The sequence below is a fragment of the Homo sapiens genome, chromosome 17, assembly GCF_000001405.40.
Source record: "Homo sapiens chromosome 17, GRCh38.p14 Primary Assembly".
Classification (NCBI taxonomy): Eukaryota; Metazoa; Chordata; class Mammalia; order Primates; family Hominidae; genus Homo; species Homo sapiens.
In genome coordinates, this window is record NC_000017.11 from 46,563,093 (window position 1) to 46,583,317 (window position 20,225).

Below are 20,225 nucleotides of genomic sequence, written 5' to 3' on the forward strand. Positions count from 1 at the left end.
CTGGCCTCAAGCAATCCTCCTGCCTGAGCCTTCCGAGTTGTTGGGATTACAGATATGAGCCACTGCATCCAACTTTGGTTCTTGTTTGTCTGTTTTGTTTTGTTTTGGTTTGTTTTTTTGACAGAGTTTTGCTGTGCCACCCAGGCAGTGACTCAGCCTCGGCTCACTGCAGCCTTGACCTTCTGGCCTCGAGTGATCCTCCCACCTCAGCGCCACCCCCCACTGCCCTCCAATATCTGGGACTACAGGTGCGCGTGACCGCACACAGCTAATTTTTAAATTTTTTGTAGAGATAGGGTTTCACTATGTGGCTCAGGCTGGTCTCCAACTCCTGGACTAAGCGATCTGCCTGCCTTGGCCACCTCCCAAAGTGTGAGCCACCATGCCCACCCATTGAACATTGAAGCTAGACTGGGCAAACCCTTAAGCCTAAACCAGTAACAGTTTTTCACAAGTTCATAGATGTTACTGTGGTTAATAACACACAAATTCATTTAAAAGCATGTGTGTCCACATAGTAATTTTTGGTCCTTATTTTTATTTTTATTTTTCAGTTAATGGATATTAAAGATACAACTTTATTTTGTTTTTTTTGAGACAGGGTCTCACTCTGTCACCCAGGCTGGAGTGCAGTGGCATGATCAGAGCTCATTGCAACCTCCACCTCCTGGGTTCAAGAGATTCTCCTCCCTCAGCTTCCTGAGTAGCTGGGATTGCAGGTACATGCAACCACACCTGGCTAATTTTTGTACTTTTTGTAGAGATAGGGTTTTACCATGTTGCTCAGGCTGGTTTTGAACTCCTGAGCTCAAGTGATCCACCTGCCTCGGCCTCCCAAACTGCTGGGATTACACAAGTGAGCCACCACACCCGGCCTAAAGATATAATTTCTATCATGAGGAGGTCCAAGAACTATTCTCTTTTTCTTTTTTTAATGTTAGAAAGGGATTAACTGGGTATGTGCTGCAGCAAAGGGAGGGGAAATTAAGCAAGAAGAGAAGGGAGCCAGGAAATAAAGGCCCCAACCCAGGAAGCAGTTAAGCAAAGTTCCAGGATGACCCATGTGACAAGTTTAGGGGATAACTTGAGCACATGGAGGACAGAACTTGGAGAGGGCACTGTGGGCCTGGGCGCCACCTGCTCCGCCAGAGCACTGGAAGAGAACGAGGGCACGATAATGGCAGATGGCACTGAAAGAAAAGGAGAGAGCTTGAGGCACCCTTGGGGGAAGCAGCCATCATCAGAGTGTATTTTATTTTTATTTTATTATATTTTGAGATAGAGTCTCACTCTGTTGCCCAGGCTGGAGTGCAGTGGCATGATCTCGGCTCACTGCAACCTCCACCTCCCAGGTTCAAGTGATTCTCTGCCTCAGCCTCCCAAGTAGCTGAGACTACAGGGGGGCACCACCACACCCGGCTAATTTTTGTATTTTTAGTAGAGATGGGGTTTCTCCATGTTGGCCAGGTTGGTCTTGAACTCCCGACCTCAGGTGATCCGCCCACCTTGGCCTCCCGAAGTGCTGGGATTACAGGCGTGAGCCACCATGCCTGACCTCACAGCACATTATTAAGCTCTGTGGTGAATAATATTTATATAGTCACAATTCTGTAAACACTGTTCATTTTCTACAAATTGTGGCAAACCCAAACCTCAAGAATGGACAGGGCTAGGGTGTAAAAGAGCTAAGTCCTTGCCAGGTTTACCAGGAAGGCAACAGACAGTGTCTAAAACTATGAGACAGCTGGGCGCGGTGGCTCACGCCTGTAATCCCAGCACTTTGGGAGGCCGAGGCGGGTGGATCACGTGAGGTCAGGAGTTTGAGATCAGCCTTGACAACATGGTGAAACCCCGCGTCTACTAAAAATATCAAATTAGCTGGGCATGGTGGCAGGTGCCTGTAATCCCAGCTATTAGGGAGGCTGAGGCAGGAGCATTGCTTGAACCCAGGAGGCGGAGGTTGCAGTGAGCCAAGATGGCACCATGCATAGGTTTTATGCCAATACTACACCATTTTATATCAAAGCCTTGAATATCCAAGGATTTTGGTATCTATGGGAGGTCCTGGAACTAATCCCCCACAGATACCAAAGGATGAGTATACACCTTTTCTTACTTTCGAATTTTGAACCAGACAGATACGCTGCAATTCAACAAATTAAAATAACTGAACCTACAATCAAGGAGAAAAATATTTATCCCTAATAACTAATGGACCATCTTACGCCGTCTATAAAAATATCAATTAAGAAATCACGGCCGGGCACAGTGGCTCACGTCTGTAATCCCAGCACTTTGGGAGGCCGAGGCGGGCAAATCACTTGAGGTCAGGAGTTTAAGACTAGCCTGGCAAACGTGGTGAAACCCCATCTCTACTGAAAATATAAACAAATTAGCCAGGCATGGTGACGGGCACCTGTAATCCCAGCTACTCGGGAGGCTGAGGCAGGAGAATTGCTTGACCCAGGAGGTGGAGGTTGCAGTGAGCCGAGATCACACCACTTCACTCCAGCCTGGGTGACAGCAAGACTCCGCCTCAAAAAACAACAACAACAACAAAAAACGCGGTGATACACGCCTATAATCCCAGCACTTTGGGAGGCCAAGGCGGGCGGATCACAAGGTCAAGAGATCCAAGACCATCCTGGCCAACATGGTAAAACCCCATCTCTACTAAAAATACAAAAATTAGCTGGGCATGGCGCGCACCTGTAGTCCCAGCTACTTGGGCGGCTGAAGCAGGAGAATCGCTTGAACCTGGGAGGTGGAGGTTGCAGCGAGCCGAGATTGTGCCACTGCACTCCAGCCTGGCGACAAAGCGAGACTCCGTCTCAAAAAAATAAAAAAGAAATCAGAAACTGTTCAAATTCCAATCTATACAAGTGAAACCTACACAGTTAAATGTCTTAATAGAGAGCTAAAAGCATTAAGTTCTGTCATACTCAACATACTGATGAAAAAAATTTGAACTAAAAGACAGCCTGATCTTTAGAAACTGGCAGAAAAAATAGGGGCTGCATCCAAGACCACTCACGGCACGTCCATTCTTCCAGCAGCTCCCAACTGCTATTTTATGAAAAGTCCAAATTTCCCACCCCAAGGTCCTAGAGTACAGCCAGCTCCCTACCATCAAAAACAATAGCTACCAAAACTCAGTAAAATTAGGCTTGTTATGAAGAGAAGATTGAAGAAATAAAGGTATTTATTTCATCTTGGTATTTGAATGTGGAAACTCCCAGTAGGGTAAGAAAAAAGAATTCTGCCAGAGAAATGATGAAGTGAAACCTCAAACAATTTGGGCTTTTGAGTGCCTACTGTCATCCAGCCACGAAATGAAGCATTTTACATAAGTAATTTAAGCCCAGTGATGCAGGCAGTAAGTATTATCTCCATTTTAAGATGAGGAAATTGAGACAGACGAGATTACCTAACTCTCTCAAGGTTTCACCACAGAGCTGTGGTTCAAACCCATGTGTTCTAGTTTTATTACAGTTAAGAAACTGCAAGAGTTTGCCAATTTGTCAAGTGCCAGTCCAAGATAAATGGACACTCTGAGTATCAAAAAAATACATAATCTGCAGATCAAAACACGAAGATACAAACATCTAAGAGTCACCATGGAAGTTGCGGGGCATCCAGTGGTTTTTCTGAAAATCCATGAAGGAAAAGAATAAAGCATTTTTCCAGCCTCTCTTCTACAAACTATATTTCAGGGAAACCAAATATTTGATGAGGGAATTCTTTGTTTAGAAGGATTTTAGCTAATAAATGCAGAGGAATAACAAGATTTAGGAGGGGGGAGAAATCACCATTTTGTGACTTCTAATAAAATAATGGGTCTAGGCAACAGTTTTCAATGGATGCTAAAACGATTAGGTGAAAAGTTGATGGAGAATTTTAATTCAGGGGAATTAGGCTGATACCATCTGAAACCATTTGGCATCATTAAAAATGTGACAACCTGGTGGCTGCCAGGGAGGAAGGGGAGAGGGTGGGGGAAGAACAGAAGTTATAGTTTATGGGCACAAAGTTTTGGTTTTACAAGATGAAAATAGTTACAGAAATGAATGGTGGTGATGGTTGCAGAATATTATGACTGACTATACACTTAAAAATGTTTAAGATAGAGCTGGGTGCAGTGTTGCACACCTGTAGTCCCAGTTATGCAGGAGGCTGAGGTAGGAGAACCACTTGAGCCCATGAGTTCGAGACCAGTCTGAGTAACATATAGAGACCTCATCTCACAAAAACATCACTACCACAAAACAAAACAAAACAAATTGTTAAGATGCTAAATTTTAAGTTATGTGTATTTTACCACAATAAAAAAAAATGAGGCCGGGTGCAGTGGCTCATGCCTGTAATCCCAGCACCTTGGGAGGCCGAGGCGGGTGGACCACAAGGTCAGGAGTTCGAGACTGGCCTGGTCAATATGGTGAAACCCTGTCTCTACTAAAAATACAAAAAAACTAGCCGGACGTGGTGGCTCACGCCTATAGTCCCAGCTACTCGGGAGGCTAAGGCAGGAGAATCACTTGAACCCAGGAGGCTGGGGTTGCAGTGAGCCGAGACTGCACCACTGCACTCCAGCCTGGCCAATAGAGGGAGACTCCGTCTCAAAAAAAAAAAAAAAAAGAAAAGAAAACATAGTTACCCAGCAATTCCACTTCTAGGCATATACCCAAAGAACTCAAAGCAGGGACTCAAACAGATACTTGGACATGAATCTTCATAGCAACACTATTCATAATAGACAAAAAGCAGAAGCAACTCAAGAGTCCATCGATAGATGAATGGATAAACAAAATGTGGTATATCCATAAAATAGAATATCATTCAGCCATAAAAGGAATTAAGTTCTGATACATACTACAGCATAGATGAACCTTGAAAACATTGTACTAAGTGAAAGAGGCCAGGCAGCTAAACTTCCAAAGACTAATATACAATTCCACTGAATAGGCAAATTCATAGACAGAGGATAGAATAAAGGCTAATGAGGGGTGGGGGAGAAGAGAATGGGCAGTTATTGCTAATGGATACAAAGTTTCTGTTGGGGATGATGAAAAAATTGTGGAACTGGACAGTGGTGATGGTTGTAAAACACGGTGAATGTACTTAATGCCACTGAATTGTACACTTAAGAATAAACTTGTAAATTTTATATTATATATACTTTGCCACAATAAAAATTTTTTTAAAAATGTCTAAGTGTGACAACCGAACTTCTGTGTTAGGATAGGAAGAATACTTATGAAGTATTCTTGCCCCTGAAATGAACCAAAATCTAATCAAGTCTCTAGAATAAACAACCAGTTCACAGGAAATCCACAGATAGCCAAGCAAGTTAGATGGCACTATAATAAAGTAATCAACCAAATCCAGAATGTGGAATAAGCAGTTAAAAAAAAAAAAAAAAAGAGGGGGGGAGGCCAGGCGAGGTGGCTCACACTATGGTCTCAGCACTTTGGGAGGCCAAGGTGGGCAGATGCTTGAGCCCAGGAGTTTGAGACCAGATTGGGCAACATGGTGAAAATCCATCTCTATAAAAAGTACAAAAAAATTTGCTAGGTGTGATGGTATGCACCTGTGGTCCCAGCTACCTGGGAGGCTGAAGTCAGACAATCGCTTGACTCCAGGAGGCAGAGGTTACAGTGAGCCAAGATTGTGCCACTGCACGAGACCCTGTCTCCAAAAAAAAAAAGGAAAAAAAAAGGCATAGAGAAAGAACAACTGCTGTAGAATAAAAGACTAAAGAGGCAAAACAACAAAATGCACTGTGCGAACTCTGATCCAGATGCAAACAAAGCAGATGTAGAAAAGATGTAGAAAGGATACTTTTTTTTTCTCTTTTTTTTTTTTTTTTTTGAGATGGAGTCTCGCCCTGTCGCCCAGGCTGGGGTGCAATGGCGCAATCTCGGCTCACTGCAACCTCCGCCTCCTGGGTTCAAGAGAATCTCCTGTCTCAGCCTCCCGAGTAGCTGGGATTACAGGCATGCACCACCAAGCCTGGCTAATTTTTTTTGCATATTTTTAGTAGAGACAGGGTTTCACCATGTTGGCCAGGCTGGTCTCCAACTCCTGACCTCAGGTGATCCACCAGCCTTGGCTTCCCAAAGTGCTGGGATTACAGGTGTAAGCCACCACACTCAGCCAGGATACATTTGATACAACTGGAGAAATTAGAATAAGGACTAGGTGCTAGATATTAAAGAATTATTATTAATTTTGGAGATGTTATAATAGCATGAAGATTTTATATATATATATATGCCTTATCAGTTGGAAATGAACACTAAAGGACATGTGAATAAAAGGCATCATGTCTGGGATGGGCAAAATGCTTATAACTGTTGAGGCTTGGTGATGGGTACATGGGGGTTCGTTATGTTATCCTCTCTGTCTTTGTATTTGTTTTAGATTTTCCACTAAAAAAGTTAAAAAAATAAATGCACTACTTTGAGAAAAAACATTCTAAAATCTATAGCCTGGAAAAGATAACTGCAAATAGAGTTAATTGCCAAAGGTAACAGCTAAAACAATGATATAAAATATAAAGGGACAGTCGACTTGGGTATTTCATCTGGAAAGACTGACGAATATGTAAGTCTTTACTATCAAGTACATGCAGGAGAATCTCCAAAACAAACAGACTCCAAATAAATTCTAAAATGAGAAATTTGTAGATTCCATATGGTTAATATTTTACATGAAAATCGGGGTGTAAAAACTATAGTCAGCCCTCTGTATCCACAGATTCAACCCACCTTGAACCAAAAATATTAAAAAGTAATAACGCAAGCCGGACACGGTGGCTCACGCCTATAATCCCAGAACTTTGGGAGGCCGAGGCGGGTGGATCACCTGAGGTCGGGAGTTCGAGACCAGCCTGACCAACATGGAGAAACCCCGTCTCTACTAAAAATACAAAATTAGCCGGGCGTGGTGGTGCATGCCTGTAATCCCAGCTACTCAGGAGGCTGAGGCAGGAGAACCACTTGAACCCGGGAGGCGGAGGTTGTGGTTAGCCGAGATCGCGCCATTGCACTCCAGCCTAGGCAACAAGAGTGAAACTCCGTCTCAAAAAATAAATAAATAAGTAAATAAATAAAAATAATAACGCAACAGTAAAAAAAAAAAATACAAATAATACAGTCTAACTATATAGCATTTACATGCTAGTAGACATAAGAAGTAATCTAGTAGTGATTTAAAGTAGACAGGGGGGCTGGGCACAGTGGCTCACGCCTATAAGCCCAGCACTTTGGGAGGCCAAGGTGAGCGAATCACCTGAGATCAGAAGTTCGAGACCAGCCTGACCAACATGGTGAAACCCCATCTCTACTAAAAATACAAAAATTGGCCAGGCGTGGTGGTGCATGCCTGTAACCCCAGCTACTTGGGAGGCTGAGGCAGAAGAACCACTTGAACCTGGGAGGCGGAGGTTGCAGGGAGGCAAGATCACACCACTGCACTCCAGCCTGGGCAACAGGGCAAGACTCTGTCTCACAAAAGAAACCTCCCCAGTAAGTATAAAGAGACCCTAAGAGAGGAAATGGCTGACAGTGTAAATAGAGCAGAGCACCAGAAGGTATCACTTCAAGCATCCGTCTTTAGAGACATTTCACAGAAACAGTATCGAGGCTACAAACCGAATAATCTTTACCTTTTGTGTTCTGGAAAAAATGCTGCCACAGAGGTCTGATTTTGAAGTGGCTGCCAACATCCCAGACAGCGAAGGTGTTATTTTTATATTCTACTGTCTCCACACAGAAACCTAAATGAAACATGGGGAAAACATTTAATTATGATTTGTGCTGGTTGAACAATTCAAAATAATTTCAACATGCGGACAGTACTTTTAATTTACAAAGCAGCCTGCTAGTCAAAGATCTATAGCCTTCAAACAGAATGTGCTGGCCCCCTCGCCCATTCATCAGGACAGGTGTCTCAAACCTTCTCTACTCTCCAATCTCTAGCCACGCACCTGCCCTTTCTCTCAGCAGGAGACTATCACAGTGTACTTCAGAGCAGAGAAGCCGCCGATGGGAATGACTTCCACTTCCACCATACAGTGTAAAAGCCAGTCTACATCTTTACCCATGCTTTTCTTCCTCCCTCTTGGAACAACAGAAGAAGGTAACTCTCTTCCACCAACTCCCTCCCTCTATGAGCCAGATCCACCCTACCCAGACTGTCTGGAACTTTTTACTATTCCTATTCTCTCCCATATCTGAATATCTCCAATCTGTTCACCTTGGCATGCTTAAGCCTTTTACATCTTTAAAAACAACAAAACAAACCTTTCCTTGATCCCCACATCTTCATCGCACTCTCTTCCTTCACATCTTCACCCTCTATTTGCTTTTTTTTTTTTTAAGAGACAGGGCCTTGCTGTGTTGGCCAGGCTGGAGCACAGAGGTACAATCATAGCTCACTGCAGCCTCAAACTCCTGTGCTCAAGGGATCCTCCTGCTTCAGCCTCCCAAGCAGCTAGAACTATAAGCATGAGCCACCATACCTAGCTAAATTTAAAAAATTTTTTGTAGACACAGGGTCTCACTATGTTGCTCAGATTGGTCTAAAACTCCTGAGGTCAAGCAACCTGTCCACTAAGCTTTCTTCGGTCCTCTCACGCAACAGCACCTTAGCTCTGCTCCACCATTGGGTAGCTGGTTTTCAGTAAGGTCAGCAGTGATCACCAGGTCAATAAATCTAACACAGGCCTTCTCAGTTCTTCCATAATTTGATCTTCTATCTGACGCTACTGCTCACTCCCTCCTTGACACCCTTCCCCAGCTTCCCTTTTCCTTCTATCTCTATGGCTGTACTGTCTCAGTCTCCTTAGTGAACTCAGCCACGTTTAACTGATCCTGCAATGATGGGAGTCGCCCTGGCTCTCACTGGCCCCATCCACTCTCCTCTTTCTGCACCCCTCCCTAGGCAATCTCACTCACTCCCACGACTTCATTCCTATCTCTGTACTAACTCTGAGATTTATATCCCCCAACCTAGCCCTCTCTCCTGAGCTTCAGGCTCATAATCTAACAGCTTTGGCAAATGTCTTCAAGGCCCCAAAACAAGGTGATCAGTCAAAAATGGAATTTAAGGTCCCTACCCCCAACCTCCTCCTCTGCTAGTTATCCCATCATTGACTTCGTTCCACAAGCTGATAGCCTGAGAGGTGCCCTGGAAACATCCGATGCTCGCACCCCTAGAACCCTACTACCACACCTTATCAATTCAACCCCTTCAACAACTAATAGTCACCCTAACCCAACAGACCATCATTTCTAGCCTCAATTCCTGAAACCATATAACTAATTTCACCTCAGCCACTCTCCCTCTCTCCATCCGGTCACCATCTTCTAAACAAAGCAATAGCTTAAAAACACATAGTGTGGTCACGTCATTTCTCTACACATTTATGTTTGATTGGAATATTTTCAAACTTAAAAAAGAAAGAATAATCGCCCCAAAAAATAAAATTAAAAATTAAAAAAAAAAGAAAGAATAAGCCGAGCACAGTAGCTCACACCTGTAACCCCAGCACTTTGGGAGGCTGAGGTGGGCAGATTGCTTTGAGCTCAGGAGTTTGAGACCAGCCTGGGCAACATGGTGAAACCCTGTCTCTACAAAAAAACACAAAGATTAGCCAGGCATTGGTGCCGTGTGCCTACAGTCCCAGCTACTTGGGAGGCTGAGACAGGAGAACTGCTTGAAGCAAACATTGCAGTGAGCTGAGATCACACCACCGCACCCCAGCCTGGATGACAGAATAACATCCAAGAAAGAAAAGAAAGAAAAGAGGAAGAGAGAGACAGAGAGAGAGAGACAGAGATGGGAGGGGAGGGGAGGGGAGGAAGGAAAGGACAGAAAAGGGAGGGAGGGAGGGAGGGAGGGAGGAAGGGAGGAAGGGAGGAAGGGAGGAAAGGAAAAGAAGGAAAGATGTCCCCTTAGCGGCTTCCCACACCCAAATCCCAAACATGACTGTCAAGACCCAAGCAAGCTGGGTCTGCTCACCTTCCAAACCTCAATTCTAGTCATGCCTTATTTTAGTGAGAGACACTCGTTACATTGCAACAATCTAAATTCTTGCTAAATAAATAAATACAATGCCATTCCAATCCTATAATGATGGTAGGGGCAGGGGCAGGAAACTTAGCAAAATTATCTAAAATTTAACCTGGAGAAATAAACAAGTAAGCATAACCAGGAAATCTCTGAAAATGAGTAATGAATTATTTTTAAGGATATGCCAAGCCCTAGTAACACTTGAATAGAGTTCAAATATAAATGCAACAGGTACTTGCCCAAAAAAAGACACACATACCAGTGAGAATTTAGTATGTAACAAAGAAGGCATTTCAAATCAGCATGGAAAAATTATTCAATAAATGACATTGAACAACTGTCTACCCCAGCACCGTCCAATACATAGTCACTAGCCATTTGTGACTATTTGTTTATGTTTTTGTTTTATTTTGTTTTGTTTTTGAGACAGAGTCTCGCTCTTGTCACCCAGGCTGGAGTGTATGGTGCGATCTCGGCTCACTGAAACCTCCGCCTCCCGGATTCAAGTGATTCTGCTGCCTCAGCCTCCCAAGTAGCTGGGATTACAGGCGCCTGCCACCACGCCCATTTTGCAATTTTAGTAGAGACGGGGTTTCACCATGTTGGCCAGGCTGGTCTCGAACTCCTGACCTCAGGTAACCCGCCTGCCTCAGCCTCCCAAAGTGCTGAGATTACAGGCGTGAGCCACCATGCCCGGCCTATTTATTTATTTTTTGAGACACAGTCTTGCTCTGTAACCTAGGTTGAAGTGCAGTGGTGCAATATCAGCTCACTGCAACCTGTGCCTCCCGGGCTGAAGTGATTCTCCTGCCTTAACCTCCCGAGTAGCTGGGATTACAGGTGCATGCCACTACTAATTTTTGTATTTTTAGTAGATATGGGGTTTCACCACGTTGGCCACGCTGATCTCGAACTCCTGGTCTCAAGTGATCTTCCCACCTCAACCTCCCAAAGTGCTGGGATTATAGGCATAAGCCACTGCGCCTGGCAACGTGGCTATTTAAACTTAAAGTTAAAATCAAAAATCAATCAATAAATAAAAATAAATAAAAAATAAACTTAAAGTTAAATACAATTAAAAGTTCAGTTCCCGGCTGGACACAGTGGCTCATGCCTGTAATCCCAACACTCTGGGGGGCCAAGGTGGACGGATCACCCGAGGTCAGGAGTTCGAGACCAGCCTGGCCAACAGGGTAAAACTCCGTCTCCACTAATAATACAAAAATTAGCCGGGTGTGGTGGCGTGCACCTCTAATCCCAGCTTCTCAGGATGCTGAGGCAGAAGAATGACTTGAACCCAGGGGGCGGATGTTGCAGTGATCTGAGATCGCGCCACTGCACTCCAGCCTGGGTGACAGAGCAAGATTCCATCTCAAAAAACAAAAAAGTTCAGTTCCTCAGTTGCATTAGCCACATTTCAAGCACATGAACAGTCACATGGCTATTGGCTACGACACTAAACAGCACAGACACAGAACATTTTAATCACTGCAGAAAGTGCCTCCTGGGCAGCACTGGCTTATCCATTTGAAAAATTTAACCAAATTACTACCTTACACACAACCATCTCATAACTCGAACATTCTCCTCGGTTTCCCACTCCTCAATCGATGCAATCTCTGCAGCTACTGCCCAAGTTGAAAGTTGATCATTTGGAGACCAGGTGCGGTGGCTCACGCCTGTAATCCCAGCACTTAGCCGGGCAGATCATTTGAGGTCAGGAGTTCCAGACCAGCCTGCCCAACATGGTGAAACCCTGTCTCTACCACAAATACAAAAATTAGCCTTGCATGGTGGTGAACGTCTGTAATTCCACCTACTCAGGAGGCTGAGGCATGAGAATCGCCTGAACCCAGGAGGCGGAGGTTGTAGTGAGCCGAGATCGCGCCACTGTACTTCAGCCTGGGGTGACAGAGCGAGACTCTATCTCAAAAAAAAAAAAAAAGAAAGTTGATCATTTGAGTCCTGTGCCTAATTCAATATTCAGAACAGAACAGTAGTAATGTTCACATGCCACCTGTGGGGTGTATCCTCAGTCAGAAGTTTGGATCTAGAGGCAGTTCACAAGGCAAAGATTCAGTTCTGTCAAAACTCGCTTTGTAAATCTCTTAACAAGCCGGTAAAACACAGTGCTGGTTCACAGTAAGAGCAGTGCAGCCAGCTTGTCTATTTCTCTAGTTGGACATCATCTCAAGCAGTTGGTTTGAGCCAGAGTGAAGAAAAGAAATCACACTCCATCTCTAAGCACTGGGAGCGTACTTGGTGTAGAGATGAGATGCTGCCACTAAGGAAGGCCAGCTGGAACAGAGGCTGACTGAGGAGGCACCAGCAGATTCCCAGCTCCCACCTCAGCCTTCTGCTGGGACACTAGCTGCGAGGAATGAGGGGCAGAACTACCCTCCCTGTTTTGCCCATTATCTTTTTCTTTTTTGCCAAGCAAATGGGGTTAAATTTGCTTAGCCTCCATGTGTTCACATGTCTCCCTTGTGAACCTAAGAATGTGCAAGCCACTAGAAAAGGATACATAACCTGGCCAGGCGCGGAGGCTCATGCCTGTAATCCCAGCACTTTGGGAAACCATGGCGGGAGGATCGCTTGAGCCCAGGAGTTCAAGACCAGCCTAGGCAACATGGCAAAACCCCGTCTCTACTAAAAATACAAAAATTAGCTGGGCATGCTGGTGCACGCCTGTAGTTCCAGCTACTCAGGAGGGAGATGGAAGGATCACTTGAGCCCAGGAAGTTGAGACTGCAGTGAGCAGAGATGTACCACTGCACTCCAGCCTGGGTGACAGAGTCAAAAAAAAAAGAAAAGGATATATATAACCTGGTTTTTGGCCTCTAAAAATGTATGCTCATGGAGTAGACAAGATTTTTAAAAAGAATTATTCAATAACATAAGAAGCATGTAAAAATAAAACATATTTCTCTGGTGAAACAGAACCTAAAAAATATATATAACATACTAAATTGTAAACTGGAATTGCCACAGGTCTTTCATTAACTTACCTACTGTAGGGACGGCAGGCACAGTCTCCCCCAGCTTCAATTTATACAAGATGGTGGTTTTTCCAGCTGTATCCAAACTCAATATAAGAATCCGCATCTTTTTTTTCCCAAGTAGACTTTTAAAGAGCTTTTCAAAAATGTTTCCCATTGTAATTTAATCGAATTCTGTAACATGACAAGAAAAGCAAGCCAAATAATTGTTCTCTGCAGAGATATAGAAGCAACACGCAGAAAATACAAGTGTCAATTAGAAATGGCTCCCAGGAAAAATTCAACAATTTTAGGTACACTTTGGCCAATGAGTAGTGAGTCTTGTCTTCAAAGGGAAACTCAACTAAACCTTTCCATGCCTTACCAGAAAATTCTATTTTCCACTGCAGCATCCAAGAGGGATATGCAACATAGCCTCAGCACTGCTATGACAGTGGCAGCCTTTAGTCATTTAGTACAGAAGTACAAGGCCAGGTGCGGTAGCTCACGCCTGTAATCCCAGCACTTTGGGAGGCCAAGGTGGGTGGATCACCTGAGGTCATGGGTTCAAGACCAGCCTGGCCAACATGGTGAAACCCCGTCTCTACTAAAAACACAAAAATTAGCTGGGCACGGTGGTGCACGCCTGTAGTACCAGCTACTCAGGATGCTAAGGCATAGGAATCACTTGAACCTGGGGAGGCAGAGGTTGCAGTAAGCCAGGACCACGCCACTGCACTCTAGTCTGGGCAACAGAGCAAGACTGTCTCAAAAAATTAATTAATTAATTAATTTTTTTTAAAAAACAAGTACAGAAGCAATGATACAACAAATACAACTATACCTCATTCTAAATTCTACTGAAATGAGAATTTATGAAACAGAGAAGCTTTTTATTTTATGCAATATAAAACAAAGTCTTTAAGACAGGTTAAACAACAATATCCCTTGGAAACGTAGTAGTTCCTTATGGCTAGCAGACACCTTGGAAATAACCTAAGAAATTTCAGAGGCAAAGAAATTCAGCGTTGGGAAGCTTCACTGCCAAGAGAGATAACTTGGCAGAGTTGAGGAGGCACCACAGCATCCAGTTTTCGTTTGAGTTTTTTGTTTTGTTTTGAGACAGGGTCTCGCTCTGTCACCCAGGCTGGAGTGCAGTGGCACAATCACGGCTCACTGCAACCTCAACCTCCCCATCTCAAACAATCCTCCCACCTCAGCCTCTGGAGCAGCTGCGACCACAGGCATACGCCACCTCGCTCAGCTAATTTTTGTATTTTTTGTGGAAATGAGGTCTCACTATATTTCCCAGGCTAATCTCGAACCCCTGGGCTCAAGTGATCTTCCCACCTCAGCCTCCCAAAGTGCTGGGATTACAGGCGTGAGCTACCAGGCCCAGCCAGTATCCAGTGTTCTATTGCTGTAACTATCACCTTACTCTCAACCAGTTCTTAGAACTTTTTATTTAAGTATAATTTACATACAGATATAAACATACATGATAACTGTAAAGTTCAATACATTTTCATGAACCAAACACACCTATGTAACCAAATCAAGAAAAGATGATTTATCAGGCTGGGCACAGTGGCTCATGCCTGTAATCCCAACACTTTGGGAGACCAAGGTGGGTGGATCACCTGAGGTCAAGAGTTCGAGACCAGCCTGGCCAAAATGGTGAAACCCCGTCTCTACTAAAAATACAAAAATTAGCTAGGTGTAGTGGCACACACATGCAGTCCCAGCTACTCAGAAGGCTAAGGCACAAGAATCACTTGAACCTGGGAGGTGGAGGTTGAAGTGAGCCAAGATTGGGCCACTGAACTCCAGCCCAGGGCAACAGAGTGAGACTCCATCTCAAAAAAAAAAAAAAAAAAAAATGATTATCAGACCAATTCTCCTTGTGCCTCCTCCCAGTCATTACTCCATAAAAGGTAATCACTATATTGACTTCTAACAGCATAAATGTTCAATATTTTATTTTTCAGTAGAAATCATGGTAGGTTATATAAAGTAAGTCAATAGTAAAGTCAGACTAACTTACAGAAATTTACAGTCTCTTTGAGATCAGCCTACTTGAAATGTGAGCTTGACATTCTAAGTAAAGACTTACAAGCAGTGCTGGGTCTACACCTCTAACTAAGCTCTTGGAAGTCTGTAAAGATCTTCAGACCAGGCAGGGTGGCTTACCCCTGTAATTCCAGCACTTTGGGAGGCTGAGGCAAGAGGGTCACTTTAGTTTTTGCTTACTGAGATAACAGAAGACAAGGGAGGATTGCTTTAGGCCAGGAGTACAAGACCAGCCTGGGCAACATAGCGAGACCCTGCCTCTATTTTTAAAAATAATAAAACAAAAAAAAATTCAAAAAGAAAAAGACATACATCCTTGTTCCAGAGACTGTGATTTATTTTCTTTTTAAATTGCTAACCAAAGAAAGCTTTACTCCTGGGCAGGGGAGGAGGAAGACACAAGGAGGATAGCCAATCTCCCATTCATTCGGACTCTGGTAACCACAGAGCGGAGGTAACCAAATTCCACAGGCCTCACCGCTGAAATTCAACAGTGGCCAGCAGTAGCTTAATATCATGGATTACGCCCAAGTACACAACATTCCTTTCTAGGATGAGAGAAAGCGAGCACAGAATTTATCCTGTTCACAAATGTGGCGTAAGTGACCAAAGAATGATAAATGTTTTAATCATTCAAAGAAAGTCCATTATAGGTCTATAAAAGTCCAGTGCATTGCAGCACTCAAAATCTTGCCGGGCGACAAAACTAGAGATTCCTTTTCTTTGTTTCGAAAAACAAATCTCACAGATGAGGAGACTTTTCAGGAACATGCTGGGGGAGGGAAGGTACTTCCCGCTCAGATGCCCCTTGAGGCAGCTAGTCCCAATTCCCCCTGCCAACCGCACAGACACACCACCTTGACCTCCCTCTCCCTTCTCTTTCCTCTTATTGCTACTCATGTGCCCCAGGCGCCCGTGGTCCTGACACCCCTGCGCCGCTGGAGACCCCTCTAAGGTAAGATGGCTCCGACTACAGGGCCTTTTTGGCACGCTCAGTCTCCCAGCCCCAAGCGCCAAAAGTGCATTAGGGAGAAACGTCGGCACGACGTCAAGGGCGCGAACAAGCGTGGTGGCCCAGGTGAGCGTGCGCGGCAGCCAGGCACGCCCGGCTCCCGGGGAAAGACGCCCCTTTTTTGCCCCGGCTGCCAGGCCGCTCCTTCTCAACTTGTGCGCCCCTGGAAGAGCAAAGAGAGGGCCCTGCGTGGAACCTATGAAGCCTCCTTCGGTTCCTCGCTGCTCCGGCCCTAGAGAGGGCGAAGAAGGAACAGCGGAGCCCAATCCCTTTCCGAAAGCCACCGCCGCCCTCCAGTTTCTGGCCCGCAGACGAAGTGGAGATCCAGCCAGGTCTTGAGTGCTGCCGCCCCATCCCTGCAGCCGGAGACTCACCTGTTGCCACTCAAGGTACCGCTACCTACAACACCGCCGACTCCGCGGCCTTTAGGATTTCAGCTCAGTTCAGCTAAACCACGACAGGCGTGGGGGCAGGAACAGCAACCAACCAATCACCCACCGCCTCCTGGAGCTTTTGCACCAATGAGCTCGAAGTTTTGTGAGTGACGACATATCTGGCCAACGCAAAGAAGAGTAAGGGCCTGGGAGGGAGGGAGCGCCGTAGGCGACGCCATGAAGCTCTGGCAATACCATGTTCATCTTCAAATCACAGTTAAACGAATTCTGGCGAGACACGCCCACGTCCCCCACCCCCGATGCCATGTGCGACCAATCAGAAAAGCAAAAGGATTGTCTATTTGCACGGCCAATCAGCTGGGAAAATCGCCGAGGTTTGAGCTAACCTCGGAGCGTTCACACCAACCGGGAGGGGACATGTGGGCCGGGCCAAGTTAATAGTGCCATGGAAGGAAATTTACCGCGGTTGAGTTAAACGTAGACATTAGTTTGGGGCGGTGTTCCGCGTAGGAAATACCACACACTGACACTGAAATTAGGCATAAGGAAGTTTTCCTATTCCGCCTGAGGCTAGACTGCCCTCCCACCTCTACACAGATTTTCAAGTTGGGGAAAATACTGGCCACCCGCACCTCGTTAAGACGTCGCAGAACCAGTCCTCGTTTCCGAGAAATGCTTTCTATAGTCAGTTCCCTAAATGCCCAACTTGTTAGCTAAAAAGGTTACAAACGCCTGTAAATGGTACATAACTGAAATCATCAGAACAACAAACATCTATTAAACATATACTATGTGCCAGAAACTATATCAAGAACTTCAGCAGGCCCGGCGCGGTAGCTCACGCCTGGAAGGCCAAGGCTTTGAGCTAGGAGTTCGAGACCAGCCTGAGCAACATGGCAAAACCCCATCTCTGCAAAAAAAAACAAATTTAAAATTAGCCGGGCATGGTAGCGGCTGTAGTCCCAGCTACTCGGGAGGCTGAGGCAGGAGGATCACTTGAGCCCAGGAGGTAGAGGCTGCAGAGAGCCGTGATCACGCCACTGCACTCCAGCCTGGGTGACAAAGCGAGACCCTGTCTCAAAAAACACGAACAAAAAAAGTTAGAAGATACTGCTAGAATTGACTAAATAAATAAATAAATAAATAAGAAAAACAATGTTACCTGCAGGACCGTAACGCCCAGTGAATTACAAACTATTATCCCTGGCCAGACGTGGTGGCTCACACCTGTAATTCCAGCACACTGGGAGGCCGAGGCGAGCAGATCACCTGAGGTTGGGAGTTCGAGACCAGCCTGACCAACATGGAGAAACCCCATCTCTACTAAAAATATAAAATTAGCCGGGCGTGGTGGCACACGCCTGTAATCCCAGCTACTTGGGAGGCTGAGACAGGAGAATTGCCTGAACCTGAGAGGCAGAGGTTGCAGTGAGCCAACATCGTGCCACTGCACTCCAGCCTAGACGATAAAGCAAGACCCTGTCTCAAAAAAAAAGAAAGAAAAGAAACTATTATCCCTGCTGTTTTACAGAAAAATATTAAGTAGCCTGGGTCTGTCCCACTCCCACACCTTAATCTTTTTCTTTCTTTTTCCTTTTTTTTTTTTTTTTGAGACAGGGTCTCACTGTCGCCCAGGCTGGAGTGCAGTGGTGCGATCTCGGCTCGCTGCAACCTTTGCTTCCCAGGTTCAAGTGATCCTCCTGCCTCAGCCTCACAAGTAGCTGGCATTACAGGCATGTGCCACTGCGCCTGCCTAATTTTTGTATTTTTAGTAGAGACAGGGTTTCACCATGTTGGCCAGGCTGGTCTTGAACTCCTGGCTTCAAGTGATCCACCCACCTCAGCCTCGCAAAGTGCTGGGATTACAGGCATGAGCCACCGAGCCTGGCCACCTTAATCTTTTTAAGCAAATACAGAATGGAAACTGCCCTCACAGGATTAAGGAGAGTTACAAGCCAGGCTTTAGGCAGCATTATATATAGTTAGCTGTTATCCAGGGTGCACAAGTGTACTTTGACCCACTTCCCTGCAGCTGCTAACTCACTGAACATCACTCCACGTGCTAGACCACCTCCTACCTGTTTCTCCATGGTTCTTACCATGAGTAAGAATTTCTGACGCTAGACTCATAAGATCGTTTTGCCCAAGAACGGGTTGTTTTTCAGATCCTGAATTCTGACGTCCCCAACCAAGGAACCCACTCAGCACAAGAATGAGGTTTCTTGGTCTCCCTGTCTCATGACTTCGCCCTTCACTTCTTGACCAATCATCGATCCCCACACTGCAGCCCCTGTCCAGAGGACTTAAAAACCCTGCCCCCCAAACCTCTCAGGGAGGTGGATTTGAGGCTTCTTCCCATCTCCTCATTCAGATGCCCTGTGATTATTAAACTCTTTCTTTGCTGCAGCCAGGTGTCTCTGTATGCTGACTCACTGTGCATTGAGCAAACAAAACTATTAAATTACAGTACTACTTACTCTTCTAATTACAGTGCTTATATGTATGAGGGTTAATATAAATACATATGACTCCTTAAAAATTAAAGTATGTTTTTTCTGACTATAAAAATTATACATAACCGGGTGCAGTGGCTCACACCTGTAATCCCAGCACTTTGGGAGGCCGAGGCGGGCAGATCATGAGGTTAGATCAAGACCATCATGGCCAACATGCTGAAACCCCGTCTCTACTAAAAATACAAAAATTAGCTGGGCGTGGTGGTGCATTCCTGTAATCCCAGCTACTTGGGAGGCTGAGGCAGGAGAATTGCTTGAACCCGGGAGGCGGAGGTTGCAGTGAGCCGAGATAGAGCCACTGCACTGGGTGCAGAGCCTGGGTGACAGAGTGAGACTCTGTCTCAAACAACAACAACAACAACAAAAAACTCATGCTAGTTTAATTTTCATTTATTTGATGACTTGCTATTTTTCCAAATGTTTACTAGTATTTTTATTTCATCTATTAGAAATGATATATTCATGTCCTACTGACTTCCAAGGGAAAGATAGAAAGTTGTTTTGCCAGGAACTATGAAGGTTGTTTGAATGGAGTCATCATAACCTAAAAAAAAGGTGAAATAACGAAGGTGAGATTTTTACTTACCATTGTTTGTTCCTACAGAAGGAATGCTGGAGCTGATAATTATGAGAATTTATCCTTCCATCCCTCATAGCCTAAGAATATTCATTATTTTCCCAATATCTGCACTGAGCCTGTAAACCAAAATGTATCTGAGACATGTCTCAATCAATTTACAAGTTTATTTTGCCAAAATTAAGGATGCTTACCTGGGAGACAGGCCTGTGCCTTTTTCCAAAGGTGATTTTGAGGGATTTAGTTTGGTTTGTTTGTTTGTTTTTGAGCCAGAGTCTCACTCTGTTGCCCAGGGTGGAGTGCAGTGGTACAATCTTGGCTCGCTGCAACCTCCACCTCCCAGGTTCAAATGATTCTCATGCCTCAGCCTCCCAAGTAGCTGGGATTAACAGGCGCGTGCCACCACTTCTGGCTAATTTTTGTGTTTTTAGTAGAGACGGGGTTTCACCATGTTAGCTAGGTTGGTCTCCAACTCCTGACCTCAGGTGATCCGCCCACCTCAGCCTCCCAAAGTGCTGAGATTACAGGTGTGAGTCACCGCGCCCGGCCAGAAGGATTTAAGATTTTATTTATTTATTTATTTATTTATTTTTATTTTTGAGA

General features: G+C 45.0%; 2 protein-coding genes across 17 annotated transcripts in view; one reads left to right on the top strand and one right to left on the bottom strand.

The window, feature by feature from the left end:
• ARL17A (ARF like GTPase 17A) overlaps positions 1-16,630 on the bottom strand; it is a 79,433-nt gene extending 62,803 nt beyond the window's left edge. For 15 of the 16 annotated variants that reach the window (XR_934479.3, XR_934475.4, XR_934478.4 and 12 more), the window contains exons 1-3: positions 16,509-16,630; positions 13,083-13,247; positions 7,667-7,777 (exon numbers count right to left, since the gene is read on the bottom strand). Coding sequence is in view for 12 of the 16 variants with exons in the window: in XM_005257439.6 (XP_005257496.1) it covers positions 7,667-7,777; positions 13,083-13,230 (259 nt within the window). In the remaining 4 variants the exon portion in view is untranslated. The remainder of the gene's footprint in view (positions 1-7,666; positions 7,778-13,082; positions 13,248-16,508) is intronic. The other variant, NM_001113738.2, reaches the window with a different exon arrangement.
• LRRC37A2 (leucine rich repeat containing 37 member A2) overlaps positions 1-20,225 on the top strand; it is a 676,337-nt gene that overhangs the window by 190,301 nt on the left and 465,811 nt on the right. The window lies entirely within an intron of this gene.